Source organism: Homo sapiens, chromosome 8 (genome assembly GCF_000001405.40).
Source record: "Homo sapiens chromosome 8, GRCh38.p14 Primary Assembly".
NCBI classification, from domain to species: Eukaryota; Metazoa; Chordata; class Mammalia; order Primates; family Hominidae; genus Homo; species Homo sapiens.
This window is the reverse complement of record NC_000008.11, coordinates 129,594,019-129,611,685: the sequence shown is the minus strand read 5'-3', so window position 1 is coordinate 129,611,685 and position 17,667 is coordinate 129,594,019. Positions and strand designations below refer to the sequence as shown.

The 17,667-nt window shown below is 38.9% G+C and overlaps 1 long non-coding RNA gene across 1 annotated transcript in view, besides 3 other annotated features; it reads left to right on the top strand.

The window, feature by feature from the left end:
* Positions 1–17,667, top strand: part of CCDC26 (CCDC26 long non-coding RNA) — a 328,546-nt gene that overhangs the window by 68,554 nt on the left and 242,325 nt on the right. The window lies entirely within an intron of this gene.
* Positions 7,752–7,940: a silencer, noted in NCBI's record as "fragment chr8:130615992-130616180 (GRCh37/hg19 assembly coordinates)". NCBI's record gives its function as "represses an EF-1alpha promoter that drives an FKBP-Casp9 reporter gene in an ReSE screen in HepG2 liver carcinoma cells {active_cell/tissue: HepG2}" and the evidence as "EXISTENCE:reporter gene assay evidence [ECO:0000049][PMID:32094911]".
* Positions 7,752–7,977: a biological region, named in NCBI's record as "MPRA-validated peak7175 silencer".
* Positions 7,777–7,977: a silencer, noted in NCBI's record as "peak7175 fragment used in MPRA reporter construct". NCBI's record gives its function as "represses an SCP1 promoter by STARR-seq MPRAs in K562 erythroleukemia cells {active_cell/tissue: K562}" and the evidence as "EXISTENCE:reporter gene assay evidence [ECO:0000049][PMID:32103011]".

Sequence of the window (17,667 nt, the reverse complement as noted above, 5' to 3'; positions counted from 1 at the left end):
GGTGTGTTGGCGCATACCTATATTTCCAGCTACTTTGGAGGCTGAGGTGGGAGAATCACCTGAGCCCGAGAGGTCGAGGCTGCAGTGAGCCCTGACCATGTCACTGCACTGCAGCCTGGGTGATGGAGTGAGACCCTATCTCCAAAGAAAAAAAAAAGAATATTTCTGTTTTTGTAGCAGCAAATTAAGTCCTGCTACATGCCAAATATTGTGAAAATACGAATTGTCTGTTTTGCAAATCTTTTAGTACTCTTTAATGAGGTTGCATTGTAAAGCATTTGTTGAAAAGTTTGTTGAAGGTTTATTATAACACACGGTTATACCACATAGATTCTTAATCTAGAACGAATGACTTACATGAATGCAGTGATCTGTGGTGAAATGTTACCTAGGAATGAATGATGTGATGGGATGTGAAGCACCTGTGCTTCAGTTGACCTCATACAATGTCTGGCACTTTTGGGTATGGCATATCATTTTTGAAGTTACATTACTACAAAAGAATAAATGGTGTATGTGATTGTGTGTGTGTGTGTGTGTGTGTGTGTGTAGTTTTTTTTTCTTTTACCAACATGCTCTCAACTCTGGTGGTTTGTGCTTTTGCATCTATACTCTTAGGAAAAATGCACGGTCTCCCTTGACCTTTGTCAACTTCTGAAACTTTGTCAGTTGTGAAACTGTGGTATTATGTATGTGATGGGATGGAAAAAATGTTGCACTGTAGTAATCCAGGAGACAAGCGGTGGGACCTGGGTAAATAGGTGCATTTCCCATGAGTCTGTGCATGGCAAAGAGAGTCATATATTGGGAACACAGGCTGTGGAAGAGGACAGCAGGAAGTACAGGTCTGAAAAGATGACAGAGTTCTGTGAGGTAAGAAATAATATTCCTCTGCTATGAACCCTCAAATCTTCAGTGTAGTTTCTAAAATCACCAGATGTTTGGCTTAAGTGGATTCTTTTGATCTTGGAAATTGGCAGAGAGCATAATTAATATGGTGGGCATGGAAATGAGAACGGAGATTTGGGGAAACCATAAGGAAGAGATTGGATTCAAATATATGTAAATATGGGAGGGGTGGAGGAGGTGAGTTAGGATAACTTACATCTCAGAGATTCTAAGGAACATCTCAATTACTCTTTTTATAGTATTTTCACTTTACATAGCGATTTCATGTTCTGCCTCGAAAATAAAGTGTGAGATCCACATAACAGGATTTTTTCTTTCATATTGTAAATAAGTAAACTGAGGTTCAGAAAATGTAAAAGATATATACAAGATCACATAAGTGGTAAGGAGCAGAGCCAGGTCTAACGATAAACCAAATCATGGTATTTTATGGATGTAATATCTTCTAGTCCAACTGACTCCTAGATGCTTAAATTTCCTCAATAATCATATCGACTCCTTGCCTCCTCTGGTTCGTTGACAAACTGCCTTTCTAGTAGCATCTTTCTGCTTCTGTGGACTGGTGCTTTTCTAGTGTGTGTGTGTGTGTGTGTGTGTGTGTGTGTGTGTGTGTGTGTGTGTGTTTAATGTTCTGACTTCATGCATAGGTCTCAATTTCTGGTAGGTCCTTACCATACATGTGTCCAAGGCCGTATCTTCTATCCCTACATTTGCATAAAATCTAAATGCCTGGCCATTAGGGTTAAGATTAAATTTTGGTGCTCCCTTGCACTTCCAAGCCTCACATGCTCCAATATTCAGGCACAGTTTCCTTTTCATGTTAACACCCCAAGATTTCCCTTTAGTGTTACAATTTTGGATAGGAGATCCAGGCATAAGGGAGGGGTAATAGTTGTCTAAAGACATGAGGGAGGTGAGGAGGAAGAGGTGAAGAGCATTATAGGCAGAAGAAACAGCAAGATCAGATTCTTGAGTGGCAAGTATGAATGCCGTATTGCAGAAATAGTAAGGAGGTCAGCAGAGCTGGGGCAGAGCGTGGAAGTAGGAGTAGTTAAGATCAGACAAGTATTTGGGGTTGATGCTAGACTGTGGAAAGACTTGTAGACTATTAAAATGACTTTTTAAAAAGTCTTAAGTGACATGGAAAACTGTTGGAGGGTTCTGAGAAAAGAAGTGAAATAAATGGACTTGTTTTTATAATAGAATTGCTCTGGTTGCATTGTGGTGAATGAATTGGAGGAGAACAAGAGTAGAAACAGCTTATACTATTAACTAGAAGGTTATTTAAATAATCTGATTGGAGCTAATAATGGTTGCAAATAAGGTGATAATAATGGAGGTGGTCAAAAGTGGGCAGATTCTGGATTTATTTTGAAGGTGGAGCTACATGATTTCCTAATAGAATAAATGTGAAATCTCAGAGACGGAGAAGAGCTAAAGTTGACTTCATGGCCTGAGAAATAGAAATAATTTAATGGAATAAAGAAGACTGTGGGAGCAACAGATTTAGGAGAGATAGGAGAAGCTCAAATTTGGATTTAAGTTTGAAATGCTTATTAACATCCTAGTCGAGGAGGCAGTTGGTATGAGAATCTATAAATCAGAGGTGACAACCAGGCTTGCAATTTAGATCTATGTATAGATGATATATCAAGCCACACAACTGGATGAGATAATCAAGGGAGTGTGTCTAGATACAGAAAATAAGAGATCTAGAGAATGAGCTCCAGGGCATTTTATCATTTGAAGTTTGTGCTGAGGTTTCTCCGTAATGATGTGAGCAGCTCCATAGACCTCATCCCCAGCAAAACTTGTTGAAAATTATATAAGATTCTCCCAAGCATTTAAAGTCTCTGGAAATGGTTCTAAGAGCATATAGTAAATGAAAAAAAAACATTTATTTAAGAAAATATAATAAACTCAATAAGAACGATGAGAGTCTTTGCTAGTTGAGCCAAGACCTGCATTCTCTCTCCCCCATTCCAGCTCAGCAAGATGTACCATATATTCCAGACTGGTATAGCCTAAAACCCAGGGCCCTCACTCCTGCTAATTCCAAGTTGGAGGACTATATTCCCTTGGGGGGATAGGACATAAGCATTTCTCCTTCTGCTCCCAGCTACCTGTTGCTGAGGCCAGGTTCTGGGCAAGTACAGCTGGGAGCCGGGGGGTTCCCTTGTTCCATCCAGCCTCAACTATGGAATGGAGGTTTTACCTTGGGAGTAGTGCTGTTGAGAAAACTTGGGCCCCTTGCTCAAGCTTGGGGACAAGGATTCCATGTGGAGAAGGGCAAGCCAAAGGGACCTGGGGCTGATGGCCCCTCCCCAACTCACTCAGCACTCAGCTCCTAAAGTGGAGTTGTCACTCAGAGAGAAGCACGCCATCATCCCCACCCCTAGTACCAGGGCTTGGCTCAGAAATTTATACCAGGGGGAAAACAGTCTATAGAAGCAGAGAGTTCCAAATCTCTGACCAAAGGAACTTGCTTCATTTGCAACAGATTGCAGAGAAGTTCAAGCCCAAGGACACTTTCAAAAATAGTGAAAGTTGTGGTGAAAGGTAATTGGGAGATTAATAGATTCGTGGGTGTTATAGGCTCGCTAGTTTACCAGAGAGGGAAACAGGGAAGAAATAGCTGGGAAGAACCCTCCTGTGGTCAGAACAAACCTTAAACACTGACATTCAGAACTATACCTTCAAAGGAGCCTGAATTTGATTTGATTGGCTTATGAATCAATTTATGCCTTTTTTCTTGTAACTAATTTTTTATAAAACCATATAAAACAGTATGAATATGTTTTTTGTCTCTATAATACATAGAAATTTAATATTCTTGCCAATAAATTTAAAAAGAAATGTCTTTAAAAGACATGAAATTATATGAAGTAATAATATAATTATTACGAAGTATTGCTGAATTGGTAATGTTTACATATGTAATATGCATAGCAATAAAACTACACAAAGGAGAAGAAGGTAATAAACGTATATAGGAGCAATAGTTCTATATCTCATTGGAATTAAATTAGTATAAATCTGAAGCTGTTTTTGGTAAGTTAAGGTATATCTTTGGTAAGTTAAGGTATATCTATGGTAAGCCCTAGAGCAACCACTAAAAATAGTAGAAAATATCATTAAAGAAATGAAAATGCTACATTAGAAAATATTAAGTTAATGCAAAAGAAAGTAGTAAAGGAGGAATAGAGGAACAAAAAAGACATGAGACATATAGAAAAAAGGAAGTAAAATGGCAGACATAAATCCAACTACATCAGTATCATAAAATGTGAATAAAATAAATGATCCAATTAAAAGCAAACACTGTGAGACTGGATAAAAAAAGTTCCCAGTATATGCTGTCTATAGGAGATACACTTTAGATTTAAAGACAAGAATAAATTGAAGGCTGGATGCAGTGGCTTGTGCCTATAATTCCAGCACTTTGGGAGCCTGGACAGGAGGATTGCTTGAACCTAGGAGTTTGAGACCAGCTGGGCAACATAGGGTGACCCTGTCTCTACCAAAAAAAAAAAAAAAAAAAAAAAAAAAAAAATTAGCCAGGCATGGTGGCACACTTGCTTGTAGTCCCAGCTACTCAGGGGCTGAGGTGGGAGGATTGCTTGAGCCCAGGTGGTTGAGACTGCAGTGGGCCAAGATCACACCATCGCACTTCTGCCTGGGCAACAGAATAGACTCTTTCTGAAAAATCAAAAGAATAAATAAAATAAATGGAAAGTAAATGGATGAAAAAAGATATGTCATGTACACAGTGATGACAAGAGAGCTGGTGTGTTCATCAGACAAAATAGACCTTAAAACAAAAAACTTTACTGGAGATATAGAGGGATATTTTATGATAATCAAAAGTTCAATTCATCAGAAAGATGTAACCATTATAAACATATATGTATCTAACAAGAAAGCAGCAAAATACATGAAGTATAATCTGACAGAAATGAAAGAAGAAATAGATAATTAAAAACAATAGTTGGGGACTTCCATATCACACTTTTGGTAATGGATGGAACAAGTAGCAGAAGATCAACAAAGAAAGTGAAGAATTTAACAACATGATAAACCCGCTAGACTGCACAGAATCCTGTAGAGCACTCCACCTAACAACAGCAGAATATATCTTCTTTTCAAGTGAAGGATGCATCCTATGGCAGGCTATAAAACAAACCTCAATAAATTTGAAAGTATAGAAATAATAAAACCTGTCTTCCTTAACTGTAATGAAATGAAATTAGAAATCAATAAAAGATTTTCTTATATTTGAGAAACTCACAAATTTATAGAAACCAAACAACAGAGTAGCTAGTTCTTTAAACACATTAACAGAATTAATAAATATTTAGCTAAATTGACCAAAAAATTAGTGAAAATTCAAATTACTAGAATTAGAAATAAAAGAGAAACCACCGTCAGAGTGAACAGGCAACCTACAGAATGGGAGAAAATTTTTGCAACCTACTCATCTGACAAAGGGCTAATATCCAGAATCTACAATGTACTCAAACAAATTTACAAGAAAAAAACAAACAACCCCATCAAAAAGTGGGCAAAGGATATGAACAGACACTTCTCAAAAGAAGACATTTATGCAGCCAAAAAACACATGAAAAAATGCTCACCATCACTGGCCATCAGAGAAATGCAAATCAAAACCACAATGAGATACCATCTCACACCAGTTAGAATGGCAATCATTAAAAAGTCAGGAAACAACAGGTGCTGGAGAGGATGTGGAGAAATAGGAACACTTTTACACTGTTGGTGGGACTGTAAACTAGTTCAACCATTGTGGAAGTTGGTGTGGCGATTCCTCAGGGATCTAGAACTAGAAATACCATTTGACCCAGCCATTCCATTGCTGGGTATATACCCAAAGGACTATAAATCATGCTGCTATAAAGACACATGCACATCTATGTTTATTGCGGCACTACTCACAATAGCAAAGACTTGGAACCAAGCCAAATGTCCAACAATGATAGGCTGGATTAAGAAAATGTGGCACATATACACCATGGAATACTATGCAGCCATAAAAAATGATGAGTTCATGTCCTTTGTAGGGACATGGATGAAGCTGGAAACCATCATTCTCAGCAAACTATCGCAAGGACAAAAAACCAAACACCGCATGTTCTCACTTATAGGTGGGAATTGAACAATGAGAACACATGAACACAGGGAGGGGAACATCACACACTGCAGACTGTTGTGGGGTTGGGGGAGAGGGGAGGGATAGCATTAGAAGATATACCTAATGCTAAATGATGAGTTAATGGGTGCAGCACACCAATATGGCACATGTATACATAGGTAACAAACCTGCACGTTGTGCACATGTAACCTAAAACTTAAAGTATATAAAAAAAAGAAATAAAAGAGAAGATATTACTTTTGACCTTCTAGAAATAAAAAAGTATTGTATTCCAATAAATTATACAATTTGCATGAAATTGACAAATTCCTAGAAAGTCACAACCTACTGAAACTGACCCAAGAAGATATAGATAAAACAAAGAAAACCCCAAACAACTCAATTAAAAAATAAGCAAAGGACTTGAATAGACATTTCTTTAAAAAAAGATCTACAAATAGCCAATAAGCACATGATAAGATGTTTAATATTGTTATTTGATATGGTTTAGCTGTGTCCCCACCCAAATCTCATCTTGAATTGTAGTTTCCATAATCCCCACATATCGTGGGAGGGACCTGATGGAGGTAATTGAATCATGGGGCAGTTACCTCCATGCTGATGTTCTCATGATAGTGAGTGAGTTATCATGAGATTTGGTGGTTTTATAAGGGGCTTTTCCCCCTTGCTTGGCTCTTGTGTCTCCTGCTGCCTTGTGTAGAGGGATGTGTTTGCTTCCCCCTCTGCTATGATTGTAAGTTTCCTGAGGCCTCCCCAACCATGCAGAACTGTGAGTCAAGTAAACTTCTTTCCTTTTTAAATTACCCAGTCTTGGACAGTTATTTATAGCAGTGTGAGAATGGGCTAATACAGTAAGTTGGTACCAGGAGTAGAGGGGCACTCCTGTAAAGATACCTGAAAATGTGGAAGCGACTTTGGAACTGGGTAACAGGCAGAGGTTGGAACAGTTTGGAGGGCTCAGAAGAAGACAGGAAAATGTGGAAAAGTTTGGAACTTCCTAGAGACTTGTTGAATGGCTTTGACCAAAATGCTGATAGTGATATGGACAATGAAGTCCAGGCTGAGATGGTCTCAGTTCCCAACAAGTTCCTCATCTCATCTCACCTCATCTTAGCCCAGGCTCAGATGGAGATGAGAAACTTGTTGGGGACTGGAATAAAGGTGACACTTGTGATGCTTTAGAAAAGAGACTGGTGGCATTTTGACCTTGCCCTAGAGATCTGTGGAACTTTGAACTTGAGATAGATGATTTAGGATATCTGGAGGAAGAAATTTCTAAGTGGGAAAGCATTCAAGAGGAAGCAGAGCTTAAAAGTTTGGAAAATTTGCCACCTGATAATGTGATAGAAAAGAAAACCAGATTTTCTGGGGAGAAATTCAAGCCAGCTGAGGAAATTTGCATAGGTAATGGGGAGCCAAATGTTCATCACCAAGACAATGGGGAAAATGTCTCCAGGGCATGTCAGAGACCTTCACAGCAGCCCCTCCCATTACAGGCCACAGAGGGAAAAGTGGTTTACTGGGCCATGCCCAGGGCCACCCTGCTCTGTGCAGCCTTGGGGCATGGTGTCCTGCATCCCAGCTGTTTCACCTCCAGCTGTGGCTAAAAGGAGCCGAGGTACATACAGTTTGGGCCATTACTTCAGAGAGTGCAAGCCCCAAGCCTTGGTGGCTTCCATGTGGTGTTGAGCCTGTGGGTGCACAGAAGTAAAGAATTGAGGTTTGGGAACTTCCTCCTAGATTTCAGAAGATGTATGGAAATGCCTGGATGTCCAGGCAGAAGTCTGCTGCAGTGGTGGAGCCCTCACAGAGAACCTCTGCTAGGGCAGTGTGGAAGGGAAATGTGAGGTTGGAGCTCCCACACAGAGTCCCCAGTGGGGCACTGCCTAGTGGAGCTGTGAGAAGAGGGCCACCATCCTCTAGACCCCAGAATGGTAGATCCATTGACAGCTTGGACTGTGTGCCTGGAAAAGCCACAGACACTCAATGTCAGCCATGAAAGCAGCTGGGAGTGGGGCTGTACCCTGCAAACCCACAGGAGCAGAGCTGTCCAAGGCCATGGGAGCCCACCTTTTGCATAAATGCAACCTGGATGTGAAACATGGAGTCAAAGGAGATCATTTTGGAACTTTAAGGTTAAATGATTGCCCTCCTGGGTTTTGGACTTGCATGGGGCCTTTAGCTTCTTTGTTTTGGCCAATTTCTCCCATTTAGAATGGGTGTATTTACCTGATGTCTGTGCCCCCATTGTACCTAGGAAGTAACTAACTTGCTTTTGATTTTACAGGCTCATAGGCAGAAGGAACTTGCCTTGTTTCAGATGAGATCCTGGACTTGGACTTTTGAGTTGATGTTGGAATGAGTTATGACTTTAGGGACTATTGGAAAGTCATGATTGTGTTTTGAAATGTGAGAACATGAGATTTTGGAGGGGCTGGGGTGGAATGATATGGTTTGGCAGTGTCCCCACCCAAATCAGAGGGAAAAGGAGGGAAAAATAGTTTACTGGGCCATGCCCAGGGCAACCCTGCTCGTGCAGCCTTGGAGCATGGTGTCCTGCATCCCAGCTGCTTCACCTCCAGCTGTGGCTAGTGAGTGAGTTAGCATGAGACCTGGTGATTTTATAACAGGTTTTTCCCTCTTGCTTGGCACTGCTGTTTCCTGCATCTTGTGAGGAAGTACATGTTTGCTTTCCCTTCTGCCATGATTGTAAGTTTCCTGAGGCCTCCCCAGCCATGTGGAACTGTGAGTCAATTAAACCTCTTTCCTTTATAAATTACCCAGTCTTGGACAGTTCTTTATAACAGCATGAAAATGGACTAATACATTATTCATTATAAAAATGCAAATAAAAACAATCAGGTAGTACTTCAACCCCACTAGGATAACTGTGATAAAAACAAACACCCCACCCCCTGCAAATAATAAGTTTTGGTGAGACAGTGAAGAAATTGGATCCCTCATATACTGCTAGTGGAAAAATAAAATGTTTTAGCCACCGTGCAAACAATTTGGTGGTTCCTCAAAAAGTTAAACATGGAATTACTACATGACCCTGGAATTCTACTCCTATGTGTATACTCAACAGAATTGAAAACACATGCTCAAACAAATACGTGTACATGCATGTTTATAGGAGCACTATTCACAATAGCCAAAGGTGAAAATAGCCCAAATAATCCTCAACAGAAGAATGGATAAACAAATTGTGGTATATATGTACAATGGAATATTATTTAGCTATAAGAAGAAATGGAGTTCTGATTTTTACTACAACATGGATGAATCTTGAAAGCTTTATGCTAAGTGAAGAAGCTGGATGCAAAAATCTACATATTGTTTAGTTCCACTTATATGAAATATCTATAATAGATAAGTCGTTAGAGATGGAATGAAGATTGATGGTTTCCCTGGGCTGGGGAGAAACTGCTTTATGTTTAAGTAGTTCTATTTTGGAATGATGGAAATATTTTGAAATTAGATAGAGATGGTGGTTGCACAACATTGTTAATATTCTAAATGTCATTGATTTTATTCATCTTAACAAAATTAAGATAATTTTACATTATGTAAATTTTATATCAATAAACCATTTAAGAAACCACACCCAAGGAAAAGCCCAGGTTTGGTTGGCTTCACTGGTAAATTCTACTAAGTATTTAAAGAATAATTAATGCCAATTCTTTACAAACTCTCCTAAAAATTAGAAGAGTAGGAAACATTCCCAAATTGATTCTATGAGGCCAGTATTACCCTGATACTAAAACCAGGCAAAGATATCACAAAAAAGAAAAATATAGACCAATATCTCTTTTGAATATGGATGCAAAAATTCTCAACAACCTATTCACAAACAATTTCACAAAACATTTCAAGAGAATTATGCACCATGACAAAGTGGGATTTATCCTGGGAATGCAAAGTTGGTTTAACGTATGAAAATTAGTTAATGTAATATACCATATCAATAAAATACAAAACAAAAAGAATATGATATCACAGCAGATACAGAAAAACATGTGACAAATTCAAACACCCTTTCATGATAAAAATGTTTGACAAACTAGGACTAGAAGTGCAGTTTCTCAACTTGATAAAGGCCATTTATAAAAAACCCATAGCTAATGTTATACTTAATAGTGAAAGAATGAAATCTTTCTCTCTAAGGTTGGGAACAAGGAAACAATATCTGCTTTTGAAAAATCTATTCAACATTGTAGTAGAGGTTCTAACCATAACTACTGTTCAAGAAAAAAAAATAAAAGACATCCAGATAGAAAAGGAGAAAGTAGAATTGTCTCTATTTTCAAATGGCATGACCTTGTATATATATAATCTTAAGGACAGTACTATAAGGACCAATAAATGAGTTTATTAAGGTTGCGAGATACAAGATAAATATACACAAACAAATTATATTTCAAAACACTTGCAATAAAGAATTTGAAATTGAAATGAAGAAAACAATTTCACTTATAATAGTATCAAAAAAAATAGGCCAGTGTAGTGGCTCACACCTGTAATCCCAGCAATTTGGGAGGCTGAGGTGGGTGGATTGCTTGAGGCCAGGAGTTTGAGACCAGCCTGGGCAACATGGAGAGACCCAATTTCTACTAAAAATACAAGGCCAGACTCAGTGGCTCATGCCTGTAATCCTAGTACATTGGGAGGCCAAGGTAGGTAGATCACTTGAGTTCAGGAGTTTGAGACCAGCCTGGGCACATGGAAAAACCCTGACTCTACAAAAAATACGAAAGATTAGCCAGGCATGGTGGTGCAGGCCTACAGTTCCAGCTACTTGGGAGGCTGACGCAGGAGGATTGTTTCAGCTCAGGATGTGCAGTGAGCTGACATCGCACCACTGCACTCCAGGCTGGGTGGCAAAGTAAGACACTATCTCAAAAAAAAAAGTATCAAAAATAATATTATGAAAATGGCCATACTGCCTAAAGTAATTTATAGAGTCAATGCTATTTCCATTAAACTACCATTGATATTCTTCACAGAACTAGAATAAAACTATTTTAAAATCCATAAACAGAGCCCATATAGCCAAGACAATCCTAATCAAAAAGAACTGAGCTGGAGGCATCACACTACCCAACTTCAAACTATACTACAAGGCTACAGTCAAAACAGCATGATACTGTGCAAAAACAGACACATAGACTAATGGAACAGAATAGAAAACTCAGAAATAAGACTGCACACCTACATCCATCTGATCTTTGACAAACCTGACAAAAACAAGTAATTGGGAAAGGATTCCCTATCTAATAAATGGTGCTGGGAGAACTGGCTAGCCATACGCAGAAAATTGAAACTGGACCCCTTCCTTGTACCTTATCAAAAATTAACTCAAGATGGAATAAAGACTTAAATGTAAAACCCAAAACTACAAAAACCCTACAAAAAAATATAGGCGATACCATTCAGGACATGGGCACAGGAAAAGATTTCATGATGAAAATGCCAAAAGCAACTGCAACAAAGGCAAAATTGACAAATGAGATCTAATTAAACTAAAGAGTTTCTGCACAGCAAAAGAAACGATCATCAAAGTGAAGAGACAACCTACAGAATGGGAGAAAATTTTTGCAATCTATTCATCTGACAAAGGTGTAATATCCAGACGCTACAAGGAACTTAAACAAATGTATAAGAAAAAAACAAGCAACCCCATTAAAAAGTGGGAAAGGCATAAAAAAGGATGAGTTCATGTCCTTTGCAGGGACATGGATGAAGCTGGAAACCATCATTCTAAGAAAACTATTACAAGGACAGAAAACCAAACACCACACATTCTCACTCATAGGTGGGAGTTGAACAATGAGAACACATGGACACAGGGCAGGGCACATCACACACTGGGGCCTGTTGGGGGTGGGGGGCTGGGCGGAGGGATAGCATTAGGAGAAATACCTAATGTAAATGACGAGTTGATGGGTGCAGCAAACCAACATGGCACAGGTATACCTATGTAACAAACCTGCAAGTTGTGCACATGTACCCTAGAACTTAAAGTATAATTAAAAAAAAGAACTTACTCATGTAACAAAATACAACCTGTTCCCCCAAAACCCATGGAAATAAAAAAAAAAAAGAGAGTGGGCAAAGGGCATCAACAGATACTTCTAAAAGAAGACATTCATGTAGCCAAGAAACATATGAAAAAAAGCTCAACATCACTGATTATTAGAAAAATGCAAATCAAAACCACAATGAGATACTATCTCACACCAGTCAGAATGGCTATTATAAAAAGTCAAGAAATGATAGATGCTGGCAAGTTGTGGAGAAAAAGGAATACTTCTACACTGTTGGTGGGAATGTAAATTAGTTCAACAATTGTGGAAGACAGTGTGGCAATTCCTCAAAGATCTAGAAGCAGAAATAACATTTGACCCAGCAATCCCATTACTGGGTATATACCCAAAGCAATATAAATCACTTTATTATAAATATACATGCATGTGTATGTTCATTGCAGTACTATTCCCAATAGCAAAGAAATGTAATCAACTCGAGTGCCCATCAACAGTAGACTGGATAAAGAAAATGTGGTACATATACACCATGGAATACTATGCAGCCATGAAAAGGAATGAGATCGTGTCCTTTGCATGGATGAAGCTGGAAGCTGTTATACTCAGCACACTAGTGCAGGAACAGAAAACCAGACACCACATATTCTCACTTATAAGTGGGAGCTCAACAACGAGAACACATGGATGCATGCAGGGGAACAACACACACTGGGGCCTACCGGGGTTGGGGAAGAAGAGTATCAGGAAGAACAGCTAATGGGTGCTGGGTTTAATACCTGGGTGATGGGCTGATCTGTGCAGCAAACCACCATGGCACACATTTACCTATGTAACAAATCTACACATCCTGCACATTTACCCGGGAAATTAAAAGTTGATAATAAAATAAAATAAAACGTTTAGTAATATATTTAACAAAAGAAGCATAAAACTTATGCTCTGAAAACTCAAAAATTTTAAATGTTTTAGAGTTTAAAGATTAAAATAAATAAAAAGTATTTTATATTTGTGGCGTGTAAGAGTATTGTTAAGATGGCAATACTCCCCAAATTGATTTAGAGATTCAATGGAATCCTTATCAGAATCCCAGCTGGCTTCTTTGTAGAAATTGACAAGCTTATCCAGAAATTCATATGGAATTTCAAGGGATCTTGAATTATGAAAACAATCTTGAAAAATAAAAACAAAGTTGAAAGATTCACACTTACTGGTTTCAAAACTTACAACAAAGCATCAGTAGTCAAGAGAGTGTGGTACCAGAATAAGTACAAACATGTAGATCAATGGAATAAAATTGAGAGTCCAGAAATAAATCCATGTATCTGTAATCAACTGGTTTTCAACAAAGATGCCCAGATCATTCAATAGGAGAAAGAGTAGTCTTTCATAGGAATACTGGATATCCCCACTCGAAAGGGTAAAATTGGGTCCTTATCTCACACCATATAAAAAGTTAACTCAAAGTGGATCGAGGATCTAAGCATAAGAGCTAAAACTATACAACTCTTAGAAGATATGTACAAATATATCATCATGACCTCTAATTTGGCAATGAATTCTTAGATACGACACCAAAAGCATGAGCAACAAAAGAAAAATAAGATAAATGAATCTTCAACAAAATAAAAAACTTCTATGCTCTAAAGGACACAATCAAGAAAGTACAAAGACAAGAATGGAAGAAAATATTTGCAAGTCATAAATTTGACAAAAAACTTGTATCTAGACTATATAAAGAACTCTTAAACTCAATAATAAAAAGACAAATAATCTAATTAAAAATGGGCAAACGATCTGAAAAGACATTTCTCCAAATAAGGTATACAAATGGTTCGTAAGCACATGAAAAGGTGTTTGACATTAGTCATCAGGGAAATGTAAATTAAAACCACAATGAGATATGCATTCATATCCACTAGGAAGACTAAAATTTAAACAGTCAAACAATTTCAAGTGTTGGTGAGAATATGGAGGAACCAGAAGCTTTGTATACTGCTGTCAGGAATGTCAAGTGGTGCAGTCACTTTGACAAATTGTCTGGCAGTTCCTCAAATGGTTAAACACAGAGTTACTATGTGACCCAGCAATTCCACTCCTAGCTATATACCCAAGATAAATGAAAATATATGCCTGCATGAAGACTTGTACACAAATGTTGATAGCAGTATTATTTATAATAGCCCAAACAAGGAAGTCCTAATCAACTGAAAAATGGATAAACAAAATATGGTATGCTCATAAAATGGGATATTATTTAGTCATGAAAAGGAATCCTGTATTGATACATGCCACAACATGATGAACCTTGAAAACATTATGCTAAATGAAATGACTATGCTAAATTAAATGTAGTCAAAAAGACTACATCTTAAATGATTCAATTTGTATGAAATGGACAGAATAGGCAAATCTATAGAGACAGAAAGCTGACCAGTGGTTGCTTAGGGCTAGAGGGAGTAGGGAGATAAGAGGGTAATAACTAAAAGGCATGGGATGTCCTTTTGAGTTGGTGAAAGTATTCTAAAATTGGCTGTGCTCATGGTTGCACATACCTGTGAGTATACTAAACATCACTGAATTGTATATGTCAAATAGGTGAATTGTACAGTGTGTGAATTATGTCTCAATAAAAGTGTTATAGAGAATTATGTCTCAATAAAACTGTTATAGAGAAATAAAACTGTTATAGAGAAATGAAGTTTGTGGTGATGAGATAGATCAGCAAAGGGGCAGAATAAAAATGGCCAGTGAGGTAGGAGAGATTCCAGGAGGTAGCTCTGACCCGAGAGCTTTCTATTACAGTCTGGGAAGTATTTCCTGGCTTTATTCTGGAAGTGATGGAGAGCACCACTTGATTGAAGAGTTTTAAGCAATGCGGTCAAATAGACTCCTCTTCTGTGGTTTGCTGTAAGGGAAAGAGAAAAAAGGGACAGAAACTGGAAGAAGAGAATATGTAGACTTTCTCATCTAAATGCTTCTATTTCCTCAGTTCAATAATGTGCTAGGTGCTAGTAGAGAAACATAGAGGGCAGTCAGTGAGTTCAGAGGAAGGCCTGGGGATTTACAGATGGTTTCTCATAAGAGGTGCTATCTGAGCCCATGCTTAAAGATCGGGTTTGCCATCAAAGAAGTGTAAAAAAATAGCATGAACAATGGTGAAAGGTAAGAAACGTCATGACATTTGTGGGAATTAAAAGAAGCTTGGTGTTAACTAACTAAAGAACAACTATAAGAGGCAGGAGAGAGAGATGGGGGCAAGATTGGAGAGGGCTGGGATTCCAGTATAAAGAGTATTTACTCTGGTTTTATTCTGAAAGTGATGTGGGGCAATTGAAATGTTTCAAGCAGAGAGATCAAATAGAAAAACAGATCTGAAGACTGCATGTAGGATGGATCCACTGTGGGCAGGGGTGAGCAGGGCGGTGTAAGAACAGCTATGGGGCTTTTGCACAATATCCTAAACTAAGTCAGTGGGTCAGTAGATAAAAGGGAAAACAAACATTTAGAAAGGTGAAATCATTAAGATTTGGTGATTTGGAGAAAAGTGATGACTGGGTAGCTAATGATGACTTTGATGGAGATTTGAAACATAGGAGAATGTACAAGTTTCATCACCCTGAGGAGGCTGTGGAGTATCAAGCTGGAGGTGTCAAGTGGGCAACTGAATAAAGGACTTAGGGGAGACAGTGGAGCTGGAAATGCAGTCTTAGAAGGCACCTGCAGGCCAGATGTGGTGGCTCACACCTGTAATCCCAGCTCTTTGGGGGGCTGAAGCAGGTGGATCACCTGAGATTGTGAGTTCAAGACCAGCCTGACCAACATGGAGAAACCCTGTCTCTACTAAAAATACAAAATTAGCTGGGCATGGTGGCATGCACCTGTAATCCCAGCTACTCTGGAGGCTGAGGCAGGAGAATCACTTGAACCCGGAGGAGGAGATTGTGGTGAGCTGGGATAGCGCCGTTGCACTCCAGCCTGGGCAACAAGAGTGAGACTCTGTCTCAAAAATAAATAAATAAATAAAAGACACCAGCACATAGGTGGTTGTTAAAACAAGGAGAGTAGATTAGATAATCCAAGCAGGGTGTCTATGGGGAGAACCCAATTCTAGTATTCAAAAAGTGGAAAGAGGAGAGGGAACTCATGAATAATAATGAAAAGAAATAATTAGCAGAAGATGAGGAACATAAGCAAGCAAAAGAAAGTTTCAGAAATAAAAATCTGTGAGTAGTCCACAGTCCAATAAGTGGAGACTTCAGTTAGAATAGGACTGAAACATGTTCGTTGTTTTGTCAATATCATGGTCACTGGAGACATGTCAGAGCAGTTCTGGTGGAGCAGTGGGAGAAAAGGGAGATTGTAGTGATCTGGCTAGGGAGGGGGAGGTGAGAAGTGGAGACAGCAAGTGAAGAGGATGCTTTCCAGAATGTTCTAGAAGAAAAGGTAGAGTAGAAATAGAGGTTGGAGGAAAACGTTAGATCCAGAGAGTGTTTATATTTTAATATGGAAGACACTTGATTATGTTTATAGGCTCATGGGAGTGAACTCATAGGGACTGGAAGACGACATTAGAGGCTAGAAAGGGGGAGGAGCAGAGATCTTGAGGGGAATAGATGGAGGCGTGGCCATGAAGATGCAGTCACACTGCATCATTTGTGAGAGGCTGAATAATGGCCCCTCAAAGATGCACATATCCCCATCCCCTGAACCTGTGAATGCTACCTTATATGCAACAGGGACTTTGCAGATGTGATTAAATTAAGGATCTTAAGAGAGTGAGATTATTCTGGATTATTTGGGTGGGCCTTTAACATAATCACAAGTGTCCTTCTAAGAGGGAGGCAAAGGAAGATTTGACTATAGAAGAAAAGCAGGCAATGTGACCACGGGAGCAGAGTCTGGGGTGATGCAGCCATAAGCCAGGGAATGCTGGCAGCCATTTGAAGCCAGAAGAGGCAGGAAACTGATTTTCTCCTGAAGAAACCAGGTCTGCCTGATTGTTGTTGGCAGACCACTTTGAGTTTTAGCCTTGTGAGACTCATTTTGGACTTCTGACATCCAGAAATGTAAGAGAATATTTGTGTCATTTTAAGTCACTACGTTTGGGGTAATTTGTCATAACAGCAATAGGAAATCAATACATCTTCTGATACTAGAAGGGAAGAAGACACAGGAATAGTTAATTTTGAGAGAGTTGGACAGGAATTTAACTTGTGCATACCCAATGGTCTCAACTTTATTTTGGATCAGAAAGCCAGGTTATGTTTTAGGATAATGGGGATAAGCTAGGGAAGTTGAAAGGAAAAGTTTTTGGAAGTTAATGGCAAGGCTGCTAAACTAGCAGAAGAAAAAGAATGGACCAGTAACCTTGATACCGAGAGACTGAATGTGTTGAACAGACGTTTGCTGTGGAGTGATGGAGATGTCGTGTTGCTTCTCTGCTCTGCAATTTTCTCCAGCTGTGCCCAGTCACCCCAATAGAAGATCAAAGAAGGCGACAGTGAGTTTAATTCAGGTTTGGGATTTTGCCAGGTTGCAGGA